We start from the raw sequence: 24,405 nt of genomic DNA, 5'->3' as shown, positions 1-24,405 counted from the left end.
ATCTATGTATTTTCTGAAAGTTATATTAATATATTCACAGAAATCTTTCTGAAACACTTGTATAAGTAATATAGTTTTTTTAAATAAAAACTTGTTATCAGTTACCATTTTCATATAGCTGTCCCAAAGTTTAATGACTTAAATTGACAGCCAAATTGTCCTGATTCTGATGACTGGCAATTTTTAAATTTAGGTATCATTCTTTTCTTACTTAAAATACATTGTAGAAATCCCTCCAAATGAACTCATATAAACATATATTTTATTTAATGGCTTTATATATTCAATAGTATGAATATGACATAATTTATTTAGCTTTTTTCATTAATGATGCACATTTACTTTATTTCTAGGTTCCCACTACATGCTTTGAGAAACTATAAACTATGTTGATTTTCATGTTCTTTTTTTTCTGAAACTGTTTCAAGTATATTCCAATAGGTATAATTTGCATGACCCAACTATACTCTGGTTTTACAACTCATTGTTACCCTTGAGTAAAGAAGCATAAAGCTCAGTTGTGGATACATGCTTTAAGACTTCACATTCATGTGAACTATTACTTTGGAACTTGGAGGTTATCAATCGCCTTGCAATACAGGATTGCATTAATCTCTTGGATAATATTTAACTTTCTTTATATGGACTCCTAATCTCACTAACAGGTTTGTAAAATCTTTAACAGTAGGAACCATGGCTTATATTTCTTTGTATCCACCAGAGTGATAAGCTTATAGGAGACATTTAGTAAATGCTTCTTGAATATGTCTTAAGTGGCTAGAAGTTTAGAGAAGGATTGATTACTCTTATTTACAGTGATAAAGATAAATCTATGGGACGAAGACAATTTAACCTGAGCCTTACAGGGCAATTATGGCTAATTTTAAGAGTTCAGGCCAGGCGCTGTGGCTCACGCCTGTAATCCCAGCACTTTGGGAGGCCGAGGTGGGTGGATCACGAGGTCAGGAGATCAAGACCATCCTGGCTAACACCCCGTCTCTACTAAAAATACAAAGAATTAGCCAGGCGTGGTGGCGGGCGCCTGTAGTCCCAGCTACTCAGGAGGTTGAGGCAGGAGAATGGCATGAACCCGGGAGGTGGAGCTTGCAGTGAGCTGAGATCGCGCCACTGCACTCCAGCCTAGGCGACAGAGTGAGACTCTGTTTCAAAAAAAAAAAAAAAGAGTTCAGAAAAAAGTTCTTTCTAATTTTAAAGTAAGTATGCATGTTTATCAGTCACTTCTACCTGGAGAATATTATTGTGTTCAATGAGCATATCGAATAAAAATATTAGGAAGTATATTATTCCATGTAGTTAACCCAAAAATAAATACATCTCTTTCCCAAGTTATACTGATTGTTTATATTATGTGTTTGACTAGGTTTGGGGCATGTGACTTTTTTCTTTATGTATAATTCCTTTTGAAATGGAAGCAATAACTTCTTTTGAAATAAAGAATCACAGTAAATAATTTTCTGTAAGAAGGAAAATGGTGGATTGTACACACAAAAAATAATTTTTTCTTGCATATTTTATCTTTCATCCTTTGTTCTTAAGAAATATTTCAAATGATGACTGCAAAAATGTCCTTCAAATTAATGAATAGTGCATTGCATTATTTAAGAGTTTTTGTTTTAGATGTCAGAATTGATGCATTAGATATGGGAGTAGCCTTTTAATTCTAAAGAAACAATTTTTAAATTTCAGCCTATTACATCATTCTTATATATTAAACTATCCATGACCATTTATCCATCCATGTCATGTTTATTTTATCCATGAACTATAAAAAAATGATTTTTTTTTTGGCCAACAATCAGGAAATTACACTTAACTTAGGGTGGATAAACCCCTAGAAACAAGCACTATCAGCAAAATTTCCTCAACCTGATTGAATATTGAACACTCTTTGGGTTTTAAATGTTAAAAATCCAATTTAATGGCAATTGAAGCAAAAACAAAACAAACAAAACTATAGGAGTTTACTGACAAATAACTTAGTACAAATCTGAGGTTAGGCATGGCTGGATTCAGAGTCCAAACAATATCATTATAATCCTCTATCTCATTTCTCTATTTCCATCTCCATCTCCACCTCTATTTTTATCTCCATCATAATCAGTTTTGTGTGTCAAGCCTTCCCTGTGTTTGCCTCATTCTATCCTACTATGGATACCTTTTCTTCTTGAGTTAGGAAAAATGTCTTCTAGCAGTCTTCAGATTTTACCTTTACAGCTTGTGAGATAAAAGGAATAGATCGACTCTTTCCCAGGGTCCATACAGCACTCTTATTATGGAAGATCTCTGGACTTGCTTGTGTTATGTGCTCATGCTTTAGAGCAATCACTGTGCTAAGTGTATGGGTATCTCCCGTAGATAGGACATAAATGGAGTGACTTGATTGACAATCCAGTCAGGGGCACATGAAATGAGGAGAACATCTCTGAAATTAAAGAGTCTTTACCATGTAATCATTTCAATTAAACAGTATCAAACCGCTGCACAGTGTTCTTAAATTTCTTTCGACTTTACCATAGATGTTGTCCATAGCAATGACCTGAAAAATATTAATACATTATGAATGACTTCTCCTTTCTTCATTCTCAATATTTTTTAATTCACATATCCTTAAATTCATATATCCTTTTATTCACATCTGAAGAAATTCAGATGTCTAGTCCTCAGTTCCTTGAAAGTGTGACAAGTAAAGGTCATACTCATGTTTCTAAAATCAAAGGGAACATTCCCAATGATCTCTCTGGCATAATAAAATAAGACTGGCATTAGATCTCCATTATCAGCAGGTTCACATTGTATGGAAATACCACATTTTATTTACCTATTCATCGGTTAATAGAAATTTGGTTTTGGGCCGGGCGCAGTGGCTCATGCCTGTAATCCTAGCACTTTGGGAGGCAGAGGCGGGTGGATCACCTGACGTTAGGAGTTCAAGACCACCCTGGCCAACATGGTGAAACCCCATCTCTACTAAAAATACAAAATTAGCTGGGTGTGGTGGCGGGCACCCATAATCCCAGCTACTGGCGGGGCTGAGACAGGAGAATCACTTGAACCCGGGAGGTGGAGGTTGCAGTGAGCCGAGATCGCACCATTGCACTCCAGCCTGGGCGACAAGAGCGAAACTCCATCTAAAAAAAAAAAAAAAAGAAGAAGAAAAAAAGAAATTTGGTTTTGAAGTCACCAAAAAAAAAAAAAAAAAGGAATAATAATTAGCTGATTAATAAAAGTTGTAGAACAAAGACAACTTAGAGCATGGTCCTTCTAGAACATTTCAGAATGGAGCACTTTGCACCACCAGTGTGAGAAGGTATGAAAAACAGGAATGGCAGAATGGCTGTTTAGGCTGTTCACTTAAGGTCTAGAGGCTAGCAGTATCATTACAGAGAGTGGAGGAGGCAAGACCATTACAAGGGTCCAAATCAAGGTCTACAGCAACTCTGCTGTCCCATATTTACTTTTCCCACAACTTAGCCTCAAGGACATTCTCAAATTCTGGCAGAAACAAAGAATACTAAACTCCTATCATGCACCATAAACCAGTAGAAGACCAAACACAATGGTCCTGTGACAGGAAACAAATATTTTGATTTATTTAACAACTCTTATACCGCCAACTGTTCTTCCACACTCTTTCACTTTCTCCTAGATAAAGGCTTTCTGTGTTTGTTTCCCTTCTTTTTTATTTCTTTTGTCTGTACCGTTGTATTCATTATCTTTCTTTTAATCCTTAAGCTACTCCACTCTTTCCATTCCTATAGTTGCCTTTTTGTTACAAATCTGTCTCCCTCTAAGAAAGCTCAGTGATCATAGATTTGCCTCTCTAAGCCCTAAGTAAATTCCATGTACTTACCTCATTAAAAATATATTAAAAGACAACCATGTGTTTGCTCAAGGAGGAGTGAAAATATCAACAACTCCTAATGAGGAGACTTGATTTGTGAACAGCCAATCAGTATATATTTATTGCATACTTTCTCTGTGCTGTAGAAGTCAAAGAAGAAGAGAGGCTTTCAATGACTATAATTGGAAGAGCAAGATAAACTTCTTGTTTAATACAAAGTTAAATAATGATATGCAAATTAAAAAATATTGAGAATGAAGAAAGGAGAAGTCATTCATAACGCATTAATATTTTTCAGGTCATTGCTATGGACAACATCTATGGTAAAGTCTAAAGAAATTAAAGAACACTGTGCAGCGGTTTGATACTTTTTAATTGGAATGATTACATGGTAAAGACTTAGGGGCTTTTTGTAGATTATGAGACATGGAGAGATGTGAGAGGAAGAGTGAGAAAAAAAGAAAGAAGTGAAGTGAATAATTGCAGCAAGGGAAAGAATGATGATGGTTGAAAAAAAACAGAGGAAAGAAACTTTTGTGTTCTTTTGCACTGCTAACCTACTGGTATCCTCTCTGAAATGTGCAAGAAACAACATGTAGATTAATGTGTCTAAATTACAGAGTGTAGGGTCCTAATAAGATAGAAACTGGGTAAAGCTCGTGGAAAAGAATGGTTGACTGCACCCTATAGAACCATGATCCTATCCAGAGGATCCTGATTAAATGGAAAGTTATAGACATGGGCTTCCAAGCCAATTGCTGCTGCCTTCTGTGCCTCCTTTGTCCTACAGGAGGCACTCCCTGGCCAACTTCCAGCCTACAGTCTGTACCCAACACAACCACCACTTCTGTGGTATCTTCAGGGAAACTGAAACATACCTCTTTATGCTTCCCCACACAGGTCATGGAGAATTCATTAAATGCCTTTAAATAGTAATGAGATGGGATTAGAGTTCTTGAAATTTCAATCTGGTGTGTTTGGGGAAAATGGACCTGAGAACAAGGAAGTGAAGAAGCTCTGGTAAGATTTGAGGTATTTGAAATTTGTATTAATATTGTTAGTTTTGGAATGGAAAGAAAGAGGACAAAAATGATACTTCAAATGCAGTCTCAATAGGGCTTTGCAGATGAGTTGTTTTAATAGGCAAAGTAGAAAAAAATCCAGAGGCTTTGGGCCTTAATGGTATTTTTAACAGGGACAAGAAAACCCACTAAGGCAAGCTGGTTTAGGAGTGAAAATTACTGAGTTTGAAATTATTGTGACATATCTAAACAGGAATGTCCAAAGAAATGGTAGAAATAAAGTTATTGGAAGAGAAGAAAGTGAGAGGTGACAGCGTGCTGGCAGCTCTCGCTCGCTATTGGCTCCTCCTCGGCCTCAGCGCCCACTCTGGCCGCGCTTGAGGAGCCCTTCAGCCCGCTGCTGCACTGTGGGATCCCCTTTCTGGGCTGGCGGAGGCCAAAGCCGGCTCCCTCAGCTTGCGGGGAGGTGTGGAGGGAGAGGCGCGCGCGGGAACCGGGGCTGCGCCAGGCGCTTGTGGGCCAGCGCGAGTTCCGGGTGGGCGTGGGTTTGGCGGCCCTGCACTCCAAGTGGCCGCTGGGGGCCGCAGGCCTCGGGGAGTGAGGGGCTTAGTAACTGGGCCAGCAGCTGTGGAGGGTGTGTGGGGTCCCCCAGCAGTGCCGGCCTGCTGGCGCTGCACTCGAATTCTCGCGGGGCCTCAGCTGCCTCCCTGTGGGGCAGGGCTTGGGATCTGCAGGCCCCCATGCCTGAGCCTCCCGCTGCCGCCATGGGCTCCTGCATGGCCGGAGCCTCCCCGACGAGCCCCGCCACCTGCTCTGCAGCCCTGTCCCATCAACCACCCAAGAGCTGAGGAGTGCGGGCGCACCGCAGGATTGGCAGGCAGCTCTGCCTGTGGCCCCACTGCAGGATCCACTAGGTGAAGCCATCTGGGCTCCTGAGTCTAGTGGGGACTTGGAGAACCTTTATGTCTAGCAAAGGGATTGTGAATACACCAATCAGCACTCTGTGTCTAGCTCAAGGTTTGTAAATGCACCAATCAGTGCTCTGTGTCTAGCTCAAGGTTTGTGGATGCACCAATCGGCACTCTGTATCTAGCTAATCTAGTGGGGACTTGGAGAACGTTTGTGTCTAGCTCAGGGATTGTAAACACACTAATCAGCACCCTATCAAAATGGACCAATCAGCAGGATGTGGGTGGAGCCAGATAAGGGAATAAAAGCAGGCTGCCTGAGACAGCAGCGGCAACCCGCTGGTGTCCCTTTCCAAAGTGTGAAAGTCTTGTTCTTTGCTCTTTGCAATAAATCTTGCTGCTGCTCACTCTTTGGGTCCACACTGCTTTTATGAGCTGTAATACGGGGAAGGTCTGTAGCTTCACTCCTGAAGCCAGCGAGACCACGAACCCACCAGAAGGAAGAAACTCTGAACACATCTGAACATCACCTGGACATGCCGCCTTTAAGAACTGTAACACTCACTGCGAGGGTCCATGGCTTCATTCTTGAAGTCAGTGAGACCAAGAACCCACCAATTCTGGACACAAAAGGAGGCAGGCCTAGAGTGATAAACAGGATGTCAATAGCATCTGCAGGTAAATGACACGTGGCTACTCACTGTCTGTCTCATTTCTCCCACATCCATTCGTTGCATTACCATCGTGGTGCCATCTTCTTAGCAGGTAACTAAGCTGGCTTTGCAATGAAGGAGAAGGGACAAGTGTTGATATTAATAGAGACTGACATCTGCAGAGGCATGCCTGTAACCCTTAAGTCAAACAGAATATTGAGCAAAATTGAACTAACCTTGTCTTAAGGCCTTCTGGATAAAGAGATGTCTCAATATACTCTTGACAAGCTACTCCATTATTTCACTAGCATTAGAGTCTGTCAGGTTGTCTGTTTCATCAGTAAACTTAACCCTCACCCATTAGACTAGTAGAGTACTATGGTGACATACTGGATGACCCATCTACTTAACTCCTTCACTTGGGATAAGGGAGGACATTCGTGATCTGGGAGAGAATTAAAGCATCTTCCCAACTCGTTTTTTTTTTTTTTTTAATTCTTTATAGTACAGGGTAAATATTCTGTGGGTGGCACCTGGAAGAAAAAAGGAAGGAAGGAAGGAAAGAAAAGAAATCAAACCCAGATTTCATAGGATTGTATAAGCATGAATATTAATGTCACATATTATTATTTAAAAACTTCTTTTTTCCTCTTTGCAAAGTTTTCTAACTGAGCCATAAAATTCACACTGGCCTAGAATAAGGCATCCAAGCTAAGTGCCCAAAAGTGCCATATTAATACTTTAATAAAGGTTGAGCAGCCAGAGCAGTAGTGGCAAATTCTCTCCTGTCTGTTCTTATAAAACCAGTTTTCTAATTCTCCTTGTAACAATTCTTATCTCCGCATAACTCCTTGCTAACAGTGATCAAACTACCTTTTTGATCTTGGGGGGCCCTATTAATAGAGATTTTTTAGTGGGGGAAGCACTGCAGCAAGAGAAGAAATTTGATTCATAGTGTCTCCTATTTGACAATAAACAGCTTTTACAGGTGAGTAAACCATAAAACAAAGATGGCAGTTATTTTATAACTGCAAAGCTTATACATTATGACTCAAGTTTTGTGCCATCAGAAATGGTTTCCCTGTGGAAAAGTAAAAAGCAAAACCTTGCTAGAGAAGAATTTTAAATTAAGAAAATGCTCCATTACATTAAAATCTGAAGCATGTATCTGATTTCAGAATTACTGCCCATAATGAGTGAGCAAAGTATTGCGATCTATATATCCTGATATAGATGTACCATAAAGTAAATCAAGAAGAGGAAGTCAGTACAAATTAGTTACAGGAAAACTTTACTCAAGCACAAATGTGTTTTAAAGGATATACCAGATTCCATCCTCCTGGAATGTGGATGTAAAATAATAATGATTCTTGGTGCAATAATTAAATCATTTTAATGCTATCTGATATTCCAAAGCAGTTAAATTCAACCTATAAGAAAAAAACCCAAAATATTAAAGATAAAAAATTGGATCATTTCAGCTGAGTGTGGGATTATGGTTAACAGGCAAGGTGAGAAAACTGGATCGTTTAGGCTCCAAGGAGTGGTTCTGTGTCAATAGCCAAGGCAAATTGAAATGAGATGACTTGCATACATCTGTGACACAGTCTTGGCCTAATTCTAGAAATCAAAAGTCATGAGATCATTAGCTTTAGTAAAACAGGAAAATTAGGTGAAGTGAATGTCTACTACATAAAAGTGGATAGCATATTTTCATATCTGAATAACATTGAAGTGTTTTGTCTATGATATAAACTCAACTAATCACCACTGGGAAAAAAAACAAGTCAGTAGTGTAACATGTCTGTCAAAGTGTCTAACAGTGCTGTAGGAATAAAACTAAGTTGTATACTTCATTTTTCATTTTGTAGTTTAAATGTATCACTATGATAATTCAATATACTTATTGAATAATAAATGCTATTAAAATAAAATGACTATCAACTTGACTAAATTAGTCTTGAATGATAGATAATGCAGAGAATTTAAAAATATACAACACCGACATATTCTAGGCAATGAAAATTAAACCTATCTTCTTTAATCTCAAATTATGTTTTAGAAATGTCAAAGATGTCTTCAAAATTGGAATATTAAAAGGGCAGCCTATGCAAAGTACTCATTTTAAAATTTATCTTTATAGTACTGTTCTGCTGTGGGGCCGGATATTCAGACAAAAAAAATCACAGCTACTGATTAACTGATATTAAGGAAGGAATCATTTCCCAGAATGAGAACTTAGTAATACATTAGAATTGCTGGAAGTGTGAAACATTGTGCCATGAAACACAGAAAAAGCCTCATCCCTGAAGTTATGCCCCATCACTCATGTTTGCTGGCATCATGCCCACCTTGAGGACAGTTTTTCTTACTGCTTATACACACTAGAGTTTTACTCATCTATGGCTCGTCAACCACAATAATAATTTACTTCAGACAGAAACTGGCTTGGTCAGTGGTTTGAGAGAAGTGCGCAACTTACCACCTCTTCCCTTTCTTCTTTCCTTTCTCTTGGGGCAGTACCTGTATACTCTACTCTCTTGCTTCCCTGTGAATTTCACTGCTCAATTTAAATGTTTCATTTTAATTCTATCTGTGGATATATATGTCCTCTGTATTCACTCATTCCCTCCTTTTTCTCTACCAATTATGGCCCTATTTCCTTTGAAAATTTCTTTCTGAGGACCAGGGCCAGGTTCAGGGGCCTGCAACCTTTGCAGTTGCATAAGGTTCCTTAATCAGAAGGCCCCCAAACTTGGCTTAATGCTCTGTGGTCACTGTCTTGAAATTCTTAATAATTTTACCTTTGGCCTTAAGTTTTGTATATAAAGTCTTATGGAACAAGAGATAGTGCCCACGATTGCAGGAGATATGTACAACATGCATTTTCATTGTTCTTTGCCACTTCATTTGAATATTACATTTGCAGTGACCCAGGAACACAGAATGCCAGTGGACCCATGACGCATGGGAGTTCAGAAACACTCAAAAAGAGTACAAAAGGTGTGTTAAGTTTGTGTCAGAATAAGTATGGACACTGACAGCCCCAAAAGGCCACGTGCTCTGCTTGAACCAGAACTTCTTCCACAGAAAGAAGAAAATGACCAAGGAACTCTATCACATACTTTTTTATCTTACATTGTTGTGTTAGCCAATTGTATTAAAAATGATGGCATAAAAGGAAAAGAATAGATAAGGCAACCCCTTGCTCTCTTTCTTTTAAGTCCCTCCTAACTCATCAGTAGGCTGAAGGTAGAATGTTGGTAGAGTATGTGCCTGTCAAGACATGAAATAAAATCTGTTGACTTAGTTTTGATGCAGTGTTTTGACTGCTCTGCCATGGTAAGAATGAAATACAGATTCATGTGTGAGGTATCTATTTAGGCCATTCTTGCATTTTTATAAAGACGTACCTGAGACTGGGTAATTTATAAAGAAAAGAGGTTTAATTGACACATGTTTCTGCAGGCAGTACAGGAAGCATAGTGCCAGCATCTGCTCAGCTTCTGGTAATGCCTCAAGGAGCTCTTACTCATAGCAGAAGGTGAAGCGGGAGAGGGCAGGTTACTTGGTGAGAGTGGGACCCAGAGAGACAGGAGGTGGTGCCACATACTTTTAGACATCAGATCTCGTGTGAACTCACTCAAGGGGATGGTGCTAAGTTATTCATGTGGGATCTGCCTCCATGATCCAAACATTTCCCACCAGGACTTACTTCCAACACTGGGGATTACATTTCAACATGATGTTTAGTTGGGACAAATATCCAAACCATATCAAAGTACAAAATACCAAATGTGTAATTTTAGTGATTTCACGAGTAGCGTGCTCTTATGTTTGCATTTAAAACTGTCATTGCACAATATAAAGATCAAGGGTAAAATTAATGCTAATAATTTATTTTTTTCTTTACTCAGAAGAATATTAAATAGCAAATAAAAACACCATGACAAGTTGGTGTGGGGAGGGGAGGAACGATGGTAGGGAGATTACAGAAGAAAACAGAAGAAAGAGAAGTTTTGTATCTTAATACCTTTAACTGAACTTTTCCCCTGTTTTCTGAACTAGAGGCACAACATTTTCATTTTGCCCTGAGCCCCACAAATTATGTGTCTGGCTCTGCTGAGGACTTTAAGGTTGGAATTGTGTGCCTAATTTTTACAAACTATGGCTGAAAAGCTTGCCATCAGTGCTAGTAATATTCCCAAATTATGGAAAAGACAGATCAAATTGGTGACTTTTTGCAAACTCCTTGAAAATATTCTTCGCATTCTTAAAACTTTTAAGTAAAACTCATTCTTTCTCAAACATGAATAACCAAAATAATTTTTAAACACTCTATTTCTTCTTTAATGGCTTTGCTTTATTTTATCACAAGTATTACAACATTATTTTCCTTCTATTGGTCTTGAAAATACGCGGTATTTCTGCTGTCCTATGGGTTACACAGACTTTGATTGGCCAGCATAGTAACTCTAACAGCCATGTGTTTTCTGGGCTGAGTTGGGAACCTGACCATCATTTCAGTCTTCAGGGAAAATGTGCTTTAAATACCAAACAACAAACTTAGAAACAAACTTTGTCCCATAGCTTGTTTGTAAATCAAGAGCTTTTTGTTTCTAGTTTACATTTTGTGACAGTTCAAATATGATACCCGAGATACTGAATTTGCTTCATGATTGAAAAATGTGTTAATGTTTATTGAACCAGTTTTGAGAGCTTGGTATGCTCTTTTCCCTTGGATTGGACTTGAAATTTGGTCAGGAAGAGGTAGGACAAATGGGCAGGCAGGAAGCAGACAGATAGGAGAAAGAAAAGTTCCAATTTTGCACCTCGATTCAGACATTTCCTGCTTTTATTCTTGCTTTTGTAATTACTAGAAGGAATACTTAATATTATTTTAAGTAATTTTTAGTCCTTTATCTCCTAGAGACCTACAAACATTAGATGTTTTCTGTGAGACTATCCTGTGAGAATAGAGAAGAGGTTCTAAATGCTATTCATCTCTGTGAAATTTATTTGCTTTCAATCAGTAAGAAAAGTTAAGGATTTTAATTTAAAAAGGAAAAAGCACAACGAGAAAAGTGAAAATGATTCCCTCTGATCGCTAATGTCAACTATGGTCACATTTAATAATTCTTTTTCTGCACATTGAGTTCATTTTTCCTGCCTCTTCCTTTGAGTGCAAATTTTTTTCAGATGACATTATCCTAATTTGATACTAGCAACGTTAGCTAAAAACAATAATTGGATTTTTTAGGTAACAACTTCAATATGAACTAGCTTTGCCTTACTTCAGTTATATTCTTAGTACATTATATATGTTTTCCTTTTAACTACATTTCATTCTTATGTCTTCCTACCATGTAAAGGAAGCAGTATATTTTATGTAATCTAAATGATTAGTTCTAGTAAATATTACCATATTTTCAAAAATAACGATTTCTACATTTCCATCAGCAAGCCTTCTGTAAGGCAATTTTTAAACGTTTTAATTATAGAACATGCATTTTTTTAACCAAAGGACTGTCACAGATTTTAAGTTATAAAGGGATACCTAGCTATCATTTCTTTTATTGAATCTCCATCTTTTATTTGTAATAATTGTCCCTGATATTATGCTTATTTAATTTCATTGCTTTTAGAAAATGGCGGTTTTATTTTAATGATTTTTTTCTATCAAAACACTATTGGATAAAGCCTCCTTCCCAGGTTAATAACTCTTATTAAAAATTGTTTTCATGTGTTTTTTACAAAAGCAACTTAACGCAGAGACTTATGCCAGTATTATAGTCAATGTTAATAATGTCCTGGGAAACTATGAGGAAACGCTAAATGATCAAAGATCACATATTCGGAAATCTCTAGTGTGGAGACGATTCCACTGCCATATATACAGCAGCAACAACAAAACCGCAGACACCCAGTGAATTTTGATCACCTACTGTGTATCAGGTTTTTTTGTTTTCCCTTCAAAAACCACGATTTCATCGTATTCTCACGATAAATCCTCTGAGATAAAATGAAATTCTAGGATTAACCTCGATACCAGTAACACCTCCAACTCGCCAACAAGTTTTAAACCCCTAATTGGCACACTGCCTTGTGTAAGCAGTATTTCAATAAGCTTTGTGTAAGTTAAAAAAAAAAAAGTGGGAGAGCGTTTAGGGGTCCTTTGGTCCCCATAACAACTAAAAGTCTTGGTTCTTTCTAGAAGTACAACAGATGCAGTAACAGGGAACTAACTATTCAGTGCCTCTGACCAGATCCCGCAGCCTTTCCTAGTCTGCTCTCATCTGAGCAGGAGTCCTACTCAAAGGAACCTGGTTTTCTTTCCTTTACTGGATACTACAAGGCACAAATCGGTTACTTCTGTGGGTGTCGGATTACTTGTTTGTAAACTGAGAAACCTGGACAAAGTTTTCTCTAACTTTCCCTGAATCGTCTCTGGAGGTGAGAGGGAGTTCGAGGCTAAATCAGGAAAGATACCCCAACCATCCTCTTGTGGGTGGGGAGGAGCAGATCTGCTGGGTTAAACTTGGTGGTCAACAAACTGAAAGCAGCGACCCGCGGGCTGCGAGCGGAACAGCGGGAACGTTGGATCAGAGACCCAGAATCAGAGCCGCAGTCGAAGCCGCCCCCTTTTCCGGACGCCCCGTCCGCTCCTGGAACCGGGTTCACATCACGCCCTCAGCAACACGTTATGCGTTGGTGAACTACATTTCCCAGAATGCCTTTCAACCTTCTTCCCAGGGCTCCAATGAGCGCCGTGGTGACGCCATCATCCGGCGCGGTGTTTAGACTCCACTGATGTCGTGGCGCTTTAGGGGAAGAAGTTGGTGTTTCGCTGGGCCCTGGTACTGAAGACGCGGTCCGGGTCGCCCCTAGCTGTTTCCTACTCACCCAAAGCCCCGCACCCGCCTTTTCTCTCTCTCCTCTGGCAGGATGAGGCGTGCAGGCCTGGGTAAGAAGAGGGCTGAGGTTCGAAGTTCGGGGCCCTAGAACCGGGAGCGCTGGGGCGCGGGAGGAAATCGAACCTGTCTTATGTTCCTGGCATTTGGTCCAAAAAACAGGATGTCTAGAGGGGATCTTTGGGGTCCATGTCGAGTGGAAACACACCATTTGTCCCAGATCTTTGGAATTTCCTTAAGTTTGAGTCAGATTCAAGTTTGGATGGTAGGCTAGAGAAAGTAGTGGACTAGGGGTGGGTGTGTACAGGTGGCATCTCAGTGGTCGAGTGTTTTAGTGTTATTGACTGAGCGTGGTTATGGACGCTGCTATGTTTTCCAAAGCCCGACTCCGGTTTCTGTTTCCCTACTGGCCCTGGATCTTAGTTTCTTCAGAAGCGGAATTTGAAGAGTGGGTGGTTGCACCCAAAGCACGCTAGTAATGGTCGTTAATCTGGTAACAGTGAGTTACAAAGGTAAATGTATGTGTCATTATTGTTAAAGGTCCTGGAACTGGAACTTCTGGGTCAAAGGCGATTTCTTAATCTGAACCTTGTGCCACGGTTAAGGCAGTAGAACGTGGTTAAGGTTTGGCGACTTAACATTTGATCTTTACCTTTGGGGTTAGGAAACTGGCTCATCAGCAAGAATAAGTTAGACACAAGGAATTTTAATGGACCCTTATAGTAACGCACAGCTACTAGAACGGCATTTTCTGGTTCTGAAGCTTTCTCTTAGGACACGATTTTTTTTTTAAAGAAGACCCCGCTAAATTAGAGTGCAGTATACTTCAGAAAATAAATGAAACATTTGAAAAAAGATATTACCTTTCTCAGTCATTATAAGATTGAAAAAAGAAAAAAAAAATCCCCAAAGTGTCAGATATTTAAAGTCAGTGAAAGTTGCCAATAACCGTAGACTTGTTTATTGATCAATAAATTGTAGTATGAGAAAGTTTTTTGTTTTTTTAATGAAGTTTTTATGAATACTTAGATCATAGAAAATGGGGCCAGGTAAATTGAAGAGAAAAAAAAAAGAAATAATTTTGAGCAAGTTTAGCTTTATATGTCTAAATGTTTTTCTTGTTCATCATCCTTAATACCAAAAAAGATTTATTGTGTGCTTGAGTAAGCTCTAGGTATACAGTTGTTTGTTGCCCTGTTTGTGATCCCCAAAGCTTCCAGTCTAGGTGGGGAGTAGGAATATGTGCAAAGATAAATTGTAGTACAAAGTGTCGCTATACATCCAAATACCAGATAAGTTCTACATATAAGGGATGGTCTCAGAGATTTCAGAGATAGATCACTGTGTACTTTGTGGGGAAGATCTTTGTGTATTTGGTGGAGACATAGGAATTTGAAGTAGACCTTGAATAATGGAGAGTGGGGGAAGTGAGTTCCAGATAGGAGGAACTCAAAAGAAGTAAGGGATTATGATTAAGCCAGTTTGGGTGAAGTAGGGGATTCGGGATCACACTGTGGAGATCTTTGCATGCGAGGCCAAAGAGTTTGGATTTCATCAGTAGGCCCCTAGGCCCTTTTGAGTATTTTCCTGCTGCAGTGTGCCATGTTAAATTGCAGGAAAGTGACTTGAGTAATGGTTCTCAGCCCTGACTGTACATTAGAATCCCTTGGGAAGTTTTTAAAGTATTGTTACCTGGACCTCAGCTCAGCCAGTAAAATTAGAATTTCTCCAATTTAGAGCCCACTACCTTCTCCTTTTTTCCTTTTTTTTTCTTTCTTTTTTTTTTTTTTTTAAAAAAAAGCTCTTCTGTGATTGAGAGGAGAAGTAATTACCTAGGTAACTACTATTGCTATAATTTACATTGGTGTGAAGTGACAAAGGCTTTTGTTACACATTTTTTCTTTTCTTTTTTTTTAAAGTATGAATGCATATTGACCTGAAATTTTAAATTTGGGATCATAGTGAATCTGATACATATCCATAGGCAGAAGCTGCCACACTTCACATGAATCTCTAAATGGTTTTGTTAGCTTACTGATAGAACCTATCCAAAAAAGTAGCGTTTATCTAAATAAACAAAGGCTGAGGATGATCTTCAGTACTCACTAGCTTTTTTACAACTTTTCATAGCAGTACACCACCAGAAGAGAAGTGGCTTTGTTTGGAATAGCAATTCTAGCATTTTATTTGGTTTTTACTTTTGTCATTGTATTTGGGATGGGTCATAGTTTGAGGGAAGATCAACTCTTTAATAGGAATGTGCATTGATATATTTCTGGACGATAAATACAACAAGAATTTCACTTTGAATAAATGGAACAGCATGGAAGAACTCTAAAATTAAAATTAAGATAGGCAAAAGCAACTAAACAAAGGAAAGAAAAAATAGCAGTTAATTTATAATGAATTCCTTGGTGAAGTTGTCAAATGTTTGAATTCAACCAGTCAGTAATTACTTATTGGGTAAATGTTATATACTCAGAACCTCAGCCACACAAAATAAGAAGACATTCTTTCTTTAAGTATCTTGGCCCTTATTAAACTACAGTTTGCACAGAGTATCATTGGTTAACAGAGTAAGAATGCATTTTTAAATGGTGATTTTAATATTTGACTGAGCGGAAAAATATGCCCACTCCTTGAGTTCTTTTATAATAAAACATGTGGAGAGCTTCATGGATAGTGTGTCATGGATAGTGTGTCAGCAGCAAAATTCAGATAGTACAACTCTCTTCTGTTTGGAAAATACTTCTTCAATATTTTGTTGTGGTTTTTGTGGTGGTGGAGATTGCATAGGTATCTGCTGCATATAAAGTACTCATTAGGTACAGGGAGGATATGGAAGCATGAGATACTGTCTTTGCCTTCAGAGAAGCATATGATTCCATTCTGGACAAAGGTATGCACATTCAAAGTTCAATAACAGTGAACTCAGATTCTTTTCATTAATTAGTTCACATCATGTATTCATTGAGTGTGCCTTACAGTGTGTATGTGTTTGTAGGTTTATGGGGGGACATACAGTGTTGAGTCAAACAAACTTATTCTCTTCCCTTATAGTACTGTACAGAGTGCAATATTAGTGTTACATACAATCAGAGCTGTAAGAAATCAGTGAGAGTTTTGCTTCATAGGGAAAATGAAATTTCTATTGTGCCTTGAAAGAAGTTCCTATTCACACCTTGACTGTCCTTCAGTGATCAGTGCTGTTACCTCCTGTCACTGCTGCTGCATCTGCTCATTGAGCATATGGAGACTTCTAGTTTTGTTTGTTTTTAATAGATGAGGTCTTGCTGTGTTGCCCAGGCTGGTCTCAAATTCCTGGCCTCAAGTGATCCTGCCTCCCTCAGCTTCCCAAGTAGCTGGGATTATAGGTGCAAGCAACTGTGTGCAGCAGGCTCTGAGACTTCTAGTTTTGATATCATTCCTTTCCCCACATTCTCAAGTCACTGTTGAATCTGCTTTAATATCTGTCCAATCTAATCCCCATAATCCAGATCTTCAACCGCTCTTTTGGCAAGCAGTCTCAACCTCTTGGGGCTCCGTTTTTCTGCAACCTCAATATTATAAGCTTCCAACTATAGATTAGTCCAACCATCCACCTTCTCCTGGACTAACTCAGGCCGATGAACTCTTCTGCAGAAAAAAACCACACACCTGGGACGATTGAAGCCACCGTAGTATATTGCCTCAAACAAGTTTGTTTTATCTTTAGTAATCCTGTGCAGTCCCGGTCCCTTTCCTCCATCATTCTCCTTACTGTATATTCTGAATGATCACCCATTCTTCAGCAGATAGCCCGTTTTCTCCCTTTACTGAGAAAATTGATGGCAACAATTATGTTAAAAAAAAGTTCACGCCTGTAATCCCAGCACTTTGGGGGGCCGAGGCGGATGGATCATGAGGTCAGGAGATCGAGACCATCCTGGCTAACAGGGTGAAACCCTGTCTCTGCTAAAAAATACAAAAAAAAAAAAAATTAGCCAGGTGTGATGGCGGGCACCTGTAGTCCCAGCTGCTCGGGAGGCTGAGGCAGGAGAATGGCCTGAACCTGGGAGGCGGAGCTTGCAGTGAGCCGAGATCGCGCCACTGCACTCCAGCTTGGGCGACAGAGCGAGACTCCACCTCAAAAAAAAAAAAAAAGTATAGTTAACTAACACCCTGAACTATGCCGTTTCCTGTTAATCGCCCAACATATTTATATATGTATTCACTAAGGCCCACTCCATCTGTTGTTTGATAGCCTGATGACTATGAAGTACTATATTAGGCAGGGAGGTGTACATTCTTATCCCTTAGAGTTCCATAAAAGTAGCACCTAGAAAGAACAGTGGATCTGATACATGGTAATTCTTCAAATATATGTTGAAGAATAAATGAATCTCCCTCTTGACTCTCAGCTAGCATTCTGCATAAGTTATTGTGTCTCTTTCCTAGAGCTTCAGTTTGCCCCCTCCCTGCTTTGGCTCTTTCCTGTCCAACTGTCTATTTAAGAGAAAGAGATGCCAGTAAAGAACCCTCGCCGCTATGAGCTCCCGTCCTTCTGTATTAACCACTTTTCCCTTCCTCTTCACAGCCACGCTTTTTCAATGGGTAGATGATGTTACTGCTTTTAGAACTTTCATTAAAATATATGTTTCTCTTGAGCAGGGAATGTATCCTGAATATTCTTGTGTATTAGTACCTATTTTTGTATCTTCTGGACAATCAATAAGCAATCCAGAAATGTGTATCAAAATGAACTGAACTGAATATTCTTTGGTTAACAGAGAGTAATGGAAAGAATTGGTCTGATCTCTGTTTGGTTATTTATTTTTTAAATTCATTTGGAGTATGAATATTAGAGACATATGTGGTTTGCAAGGCCCTCCAGGGGTCTTTTTCAGTTCTTTCCTAACTAACAGTGTTTCAAAAGTGGCTTCTCTAGAACCACCTTTGTGACTCTGATCCTTGCAGGTGAAGGAGTACCTCCTGGCAACTATGGGAACTATGGCTATGCTAATAGTGGGTATAGTGCCTGTGAAGAAGAAAATGAGAGGCTCACTGAAAGTCTGAGAAGCAAAGTAACTGCTATAAAATCTGTAAGTATATAACAAATATTATATGTGTTTTAATTCATATATTTCTATACATATAATTATAAACTATATATTCTTATTGACGTCATCCTAAGGAATTCATTTACTCAGATACTGTGGTTTTGTGAGGTCAAAGTACACTCAAAATTTAGACTGTGCTTTGAGTAAGTTAAAAAATGTGGCACATCAAAAGATAGATTTTTTTTAATACTTAAGAAAAATCTCCAGCTCTTTTTTGTATACTGTATGCTGTCTGCTGTAATGTCTCAAACAGAGCTGTCCATCTTCCACCCCCAAGTAGCTCTTCTGCTTTTTTTAATCTAGCCTTCTAAGCTATAAATCTTGGTCTTTCTTATTTCTACCTTTGTACTTCATTTCAGTCACTGAGTCTTACACTGTCTTTCTGATGTTTCTATCTTTGCCTTTCTATTTCTAATACTATCCCCTGGTTTTCTTTTCTTTTCTTTTTTTTTGAGATGGAGTTTTGCTCTTGTTGCCCAGGCTGGAGTGCAATGGTGCAGTTTTGGCTCACTGCAACCTCTGCCTCCTAGGTTAAAGCAATCCCCCTGTCTCAGCCTCCCAAATAGCTGCGATTGCAGGTGCCCGCCACCACACCCGGCTAATTTTTGTATTTTTAGCAGAGACAGGGTTTTACCATGTTGGCCAGGCTGGTCTTGAACTCTTTATCTCAGGTGATCCGCCCGCCTTGGCCTCCCAAAGTGCTGGGATTATAGGTGTGAGCCACCGCACCTGGCCTATCCCCTGGTTTTCTTAGTTGAACTATTGGAAGAACATCTTAACCTATCTGTTCCTGTTTTTTTGCACATTATGATCTGAGCTATATAATCATTGCCACAGTCCTCGTTTAGAATATTTTAAAACTTGCATCCTGCACTCCCAGAAGTCTTCAGCGTCCTTCCATGATTTAATAAAGTTCATGCTTCGTAGCTTGATTAAATCAGATAGATCTTTCAAAAATTGGCCTTAGCTTTTGAGATCTTATCTCTCACACTTCCAGAATCTGTATGTGCTTCCTGCTAGACAAATTACACTTTGTGTCCTCTGTATGCTGTCACTTTCCCACCCCCATATCACACTATCCCTTTGCCTTAAGCCTCCACTTCCTTCTTAGATCAACTGAAGTGCTGCTTATCCACATCCGCCCCACTTCATTGCACCCCCTCCCTCCAAACTTTTACCTGATTACCACATCCAAAAGTAACTTTTCTTCTTATGAACATAAGACCATTTGTGCCATTTCTGTAGCACTTATTCATAGTGATTTGCATTGGCATTATTTGTATGTAAAAGGAATTTACCAGAATGCAGGTTTTCTATTGTACTTACTTTATATTCTATATAGCACTTAGCATAATTCCTTATCAATGGTGTTGAGTAAATTTGTATTGAACCAAAGAATTACACGAAGATGATTTTAATAATATATGTGATTGATACTGCATTATAATGAACATGACGTTCACTTATAAAGCATTCAGTAGAAGCCCATGTTGATAAAACTTAATTGGTATTTCAATATAGTCTTTGGAAAATCGAATTACATTCAGTCTGGAGACCTTTAGATTTTGAAACAGGATTGTTTTCAAAGTCATATTAAACTAAAGTTGATTTATGAACTAAGTAATATTGTATAATGTTAATTTTAAAAATACAACACTTGGAAGGACTTAAGAATTAAATGCCTTTAAAAACCCCCCCAATGTAGATAATTTAGATTACTTGTTAGAAGAAAGTTGTGATGTCCTGGAAATATTTTTCCTTGGCATGAATGACAGTGATAGAAGTTGAGTAATGTGGGCAGTCTAGCTTTATAGTTACTTTATTATCTCTGAGTTGTTAAATCTGGGAGGAAAGCTCATGTTCTGATCTATAGAATTCTAGTATGGTTTTGTATCAGTATTATCCCATGTGCTTTCACACAGATGAAGAACAATATTTGCAGTGATTTACCAAGATTTTCAGTAGATGATTCTATTTATTTAAATATCTTGGAAGTGAAGCCTTTGATGAATCTGTCCTATAAAGTATTAGATAGATTTTGGTTTGAATAGTTGTCATAATTAGCTATAGTATTGTATTTTGTAAGCTATGGCTCTTTTCTTCAGAGCTTCAGGAAGTAAGTAACACTAATATTTATTTTTTTCAATTTATTATCATATTTTAAAGCAAAAACCTTTAAACTAAGGAAAAATCAGTTTAGACATATTTAAAGTAATGTAACATTTCATTAGGAAAATATTAAATACTTCTGTCTAGATTTGAATTGGTTGTATGGGTACTTCTAGATCTTTCAAAATGTAATAAGGTTGGGTACTAGGCTTAATTCTTGGTTGACGAAATAATCCGTACAACAAATCCATGTGACATGAGTTTAACTGTATAACAAACCTTCACCTGTACCCCCAAACCTAAAATAAGTTAAAATATATATATATAATTTATAAAATATAATAAATAAAATGTAAGAAGGAAATATACAGATATTTGTAGGAATTTGTAGCTTTTGTAGGAATATAATAAAGATATAAAAGCATACAAGGTTAAGAGAATCAGAGAGAAGTAGTACATACCAAATTAAAAGATGGAATTGAATATTAAGATGAAATTAAAATAAAGAGGAAAGAAGAAATGTCCATAATTGGGAGGAGTAGAAATTCCAAATTTATTTTTTATTGATCTTGGTAGAAAAAGTATCAGAAAAAGAGAGTTTATGTGTCTAGAAGACCGTTTCATTTCAGAAAATGTGTATGCTTAGAATGACATTATTTTTACTTTATAACACTTGAATACTTTTATGTGAGTAATCCTGTGTATACCTTCTTCTTTATAGCTTTCCATTGAAATAGGCCATGAAGTTAAAACCCAGAATAAATTATTAGCTGAAATGGTAAGTGGTTATGATTTTAACTTTAAGAAATTTGATCTAATATTCGCAAATAATAGAATTTCAACTTTTATTCATTTTGAAATACAGAGATCGTAAGTCCTTGATTCCCGTCCATTTGTATCTAATGTGTTTGGAATAACTATAAGGTTTATTTTGCCATGCTTTTGCATTTTTCATCTCGTCTTACGCATGTAAGTGGGAGGAACAAGTGGAAGCCAATATATCTTTAATCCTGTTTTTAGAATGATTGTTAAAAACAAGACAAATGACTATTTTGAGTAGTCTTAGAAGTCTCAATAGTAGAGACTACTAGTAATTTATTAACCAAGCAATCAAAAGGCACTTGATATCCAACCAACTAAATGTCGTTCACTTAATGGATACTTACTCTTTTGCTTGATTTCCTAAGGATCACTTATGAAAAAAGTGCTCATACATTTGAACAGCCCAGAGCCTTTTCTCTCTAACAACATATACCTTTTCTTGTTAGAGTCCCCTTCCATTTGTTAACGTTTATCTTGAATGTCAAGCTTCTCTGAACCTTCTCTGGTTCCATGTGCTTTTAAAATTGTGCTATTCAAAAATGAATTTGGCATCAAAAGCAATGTTCTTGCTAAGCTTGTGCGCTATAATAAGCTAGGGACCTCTTTAAAAATGTATATGCCTGATTCTGTCTTTAAATATACTGATTTAGAATTTCGTGAGGAGGGATCTAGATGTAAATATTTTGAAAAAAGCATCTCTGGTGATTCTGATGCATAACCATGAAAAAGCATCTCCGGTGATTCTGATGCATAACCATGGTGAAGATCCATAGATCTAAAGTATATGAGCCACATAGACACTGAGCTATACAAAGGATATTTATTATTATGCCAGGGCTTTTACATCTCAGGATATTATAATTTCTATGAAAGTATGTGTAATATTTCTAGTCCCTACCTAAGCCTCTCTCATCTTTAGGATTTTCCAGCTATGTTTTAATACGTTAGTTTTTCCCCATCCATATTTATAGTCCTTATCACATTTTACTACCTCTATATGATATTCTCTTAACTTAATAGACTCTACTTCAAAGTCAGCTGTCTAAACAAAAGGATATTAAAAGTAAAGGTCCAAGGCCTAGCATGGTAGCTCACGCCTATACTCCCAACATTTTGGGAGGATGAGGTGGGCGGATTACCTGAGGTCAGTAGTTCAAGACCACCCTGGCCAACATGGTGAAACCCCATCTCTACTAAAAATACAAAAAAATTAGCTGGGCGTGGTGGCGTGCGCCTGTAGTCCCAGCTACTTGGGAGGCTGAGGCAGGAGAATCACTTGAACCTGGGAGGCAGAGATTGCAGTGAGCTGAGATTGCACCACTGCACTCCAGCCTGGGCAACGAGCGAGACTCCGTCTCTAAATAAATAAATAAGTAAATAAAAGTACATTTAACTGCTAACCGTATTACATTTTGGATGAAATCCTCTACTTGGGTAGCAGTCAACCATTTGACCTTGGAGAGCAATGGCACAACAAAAAGTGGGGAAAAAAATCTGTGTGATAATGCACAAAGTACTTACATTTATTGTTAATTTTTTTTATCCACATAATTGGAATAACACCTAAATAGTTTTGAGTTGTTGAATTACTCTGTGGAGCTGAAAGAAGTGTTTATTGGACAATGAAAGAGCTTTTTATTCGCTGAGAGTATTACTGTATTTTGCATGGAGAAATCAGGCTGATTATCCAAGGTTATCAACAGGCTCCTGAATTGATTAAACACAAAACTGTCATTACAAATGTACTATGGTAACAGTTATTCAATTACTTGGATATGCATATGTAGACTCTTAGAATCTAACTGTGATATTTTATTTGCCTTTATCTCTGATAGGATTCACAATTTGATTCCACAACTGGATTTCTAGGTAAAACTATGGGCAAACTGAAGATTTTATCCAGAGGGAGCCAAACAAAGCTGCTGTGCTATATGATGCTGTTTTCTTTATTTGTCTTTTTTATCATTTATTGGATTATTAAACTGAGGTGATGCATGTAATTGTGAATTTGGAATTTGTTCCAACTTAATGGCTTGCAGTACCACTTTGATAAAAATCAGCATCAAAACATTCCTAGTGTTCAAATACTGTGGCATTTTCCATTGAAAATTGCTGAATTTTGCTTATTTTATAAATCACATTAGTTAATACAGTGGTCTTTGAATACTGTTTCTTAATGACTCATTTTAGCCCCTATTTTCAGGGGTAGTGAGAGGGTGTGGCTCCACTAATTTCCAGTTTGTTTTTCTATTGTTTGCCAACTGTCAGATTAAATAGCATTATAATATTTTGTTGTAATCATAAATGCAGGTTTATGTCCCATGTAAGGAAACTTAGTGGGAGAGTAACAGAATGCCTGGAGAGCCTGACTCTGAGCTCTTGAAGTAGTCAGCCAGTTTGTGGTAAAATGGTAATTGAATTTTCCTAACTGCATCAACTGTAATGATATACTCCCTTCTCCTCCTTTATTTAGTTAAAATTGTAGGCTGATTTCTTTTTACCTACAATCTTCCTAATAATTTTTGATGATAATGACCCCTCATTTCTTTCTGCCCAAAGACCTCATTCTTTAAATAAAACTTGTTATTTTGGCATATTTCTGGTAGGGCCCATTGCACATGTGTATCAGTATAGTTATTATTTCATATTAACTTTATGAATTCTCTTGACTTGGCTTATAATAGTTTTATGATTTTTACTACATAGGTAGCACATTTATCATTTGTGACAGAATAATGTGAAGTTAAGTAATTACTGAACTTTAAATGGAAATAGTATGCAAGAAACTCAGGCATTGAACTTGAAGATAAGAGTATTATTGCTTTAATCCAGTGTATTTGTTTATGGAAAGAAAAACACAAAGGCAGACTGTTGAGTAAAAAATATTAAATATTGTTAAATATTCTGTATTTTGGAATTTATCCATTTATAGGCTTCAAAAGTAAATTTTTAAATAAAATATATTAGTCGACTGTGTTACTTCTTTAAGTCTCTTTTACATTCTCAGTAGAATCTGAGA

General features: G+C 37.7%; 1 protein-coding gene across 4 annotated transcripts in view, besides 5 other annotated features; it reads left to right on the top strand.

Annotated features, from left to right (window-relative positions):
• Nucleotides 12,686–13,315: an enhancer, noted in NCBI's record as "active region_26286". NCBI's record gives its function as "activates an Ori minimal core promoter by ATAC-STARR-seq in GM12878 lymphoblastoid cells {active_cell/tissue: GM12878}" and the evidence as "EXISTENCE:reporter gene assay evidence [ECO:0000049][PMID:35858748]".
• Nucleotides 12,686–13,435: a biological region, named in NCBI's record as "H3K27ac hESC enhancer GRCh37_chr7:93633484-93634089".
• Nucleotides 12,830–13,435: an enhancer, noted in NCBI's record as "H3K27ac hESC enhancer chr7:93633484-93634089 (GRCh37/hg19 assembly coordinates)". NCBI's record gives its function as "activates a minimal SCP1, AML or CMV promoter by ChIP-STARR-seq in naive H9 embryonic stem cells {active_cell/tissue: H9 hESC(naive)}" and the evidence as "EXISTENCE:reporter gene assay evidence [ECO:0000049][PMID:30033119]".
• Nucleotides 13,252–24,405, top strand: part of BET1 (Bet1 golgi vesicular membrane trafficking protein) — a 41,594-nt gene continuing 30,440 nt past the window's right edge. The window contains exons 1-5 of one of the 4 annotated variants that reach the window (NM_001317739.2): nucleotides 13,252–13,409; nucleotides 18,313–18,437; nucleotides 21,286–21,342; nucleotides 23,222–23,255; nucleotides 23,697–24,362. In NM_001317739.2, coding sequence (NP_001304668.1) covers nucleotides 13,391–13,409; nucleotides 18,313–18,437; nucleotides 21,286–21,342; nucleotides 23,222–23,255; nucleotides 23,697–23,713 — 252 coding nt within the window. In that variant the 5' untranslated portion in view covers nucleotides 13,252–13,390 and the 3' untranslated portion in view covers nucleotides 23,714–24,362. Of the gene's footprint in view, nucleotides 13,410–18,312; nucleotides 18,438–21,285; nucleotides 21,343–23,221; nucleotides 24,363–24,405 lie in introns of those variants that run through there. The other 3 variants (NR_133908.2, NM_005868.6, NR_133909.2) reach the window with 3 other exon arrangements.
• Nucleotides 13,326–13,375: an enhancer, noted in NCBI's record as "active region_26285". NCBI's record gives its function as "activates an Ori minimal core promoter by ATAC-STARR-seq in GM12878 lymphoblastoid cells {active_cell/tissue: GM12878}" and the evidence as "EXISTENCE:reporter gene assay evidence [ECO:0000049][PMID:35858748]".
• Nucleotides 13,436–14,042: an enhancer, noted in NCBI's record as "H3K27ac hESC enhancer chr7:93632877-93633483 (GRCh37/hg19 assembly coordinates)". NCBI's record gives its function as "activates a minimal SCP1, AML or CMV promoter by ChIP-STARR-seq in naive H9 embryonic stem cells {active_cell/tissue: H9 hESC(naive)}" and the evidence as "EXISTENCE:reporter gene assay evidence [ECO:0000049][PMID:30033119]".

Source organism: Homo sapiens, chromosome 7, assembly GCF_000001405.40.
Source record: "Homo sapiens chromosome 7, GRCh38.p14 Primary Assembly".
In the NCBI taxonomy this organism is placed as follows: domain Eukaryota; kingdom Metazoa; phylum Chordata; class Mammalia; order Primates; family Hominidae; genus Homo; species Homo sapiens.
The sequence above is the reverse complement of the archived record's forward strand: the minus strand, read 5'-3'. Positions and strand labels throughout refer to the sequence as shown.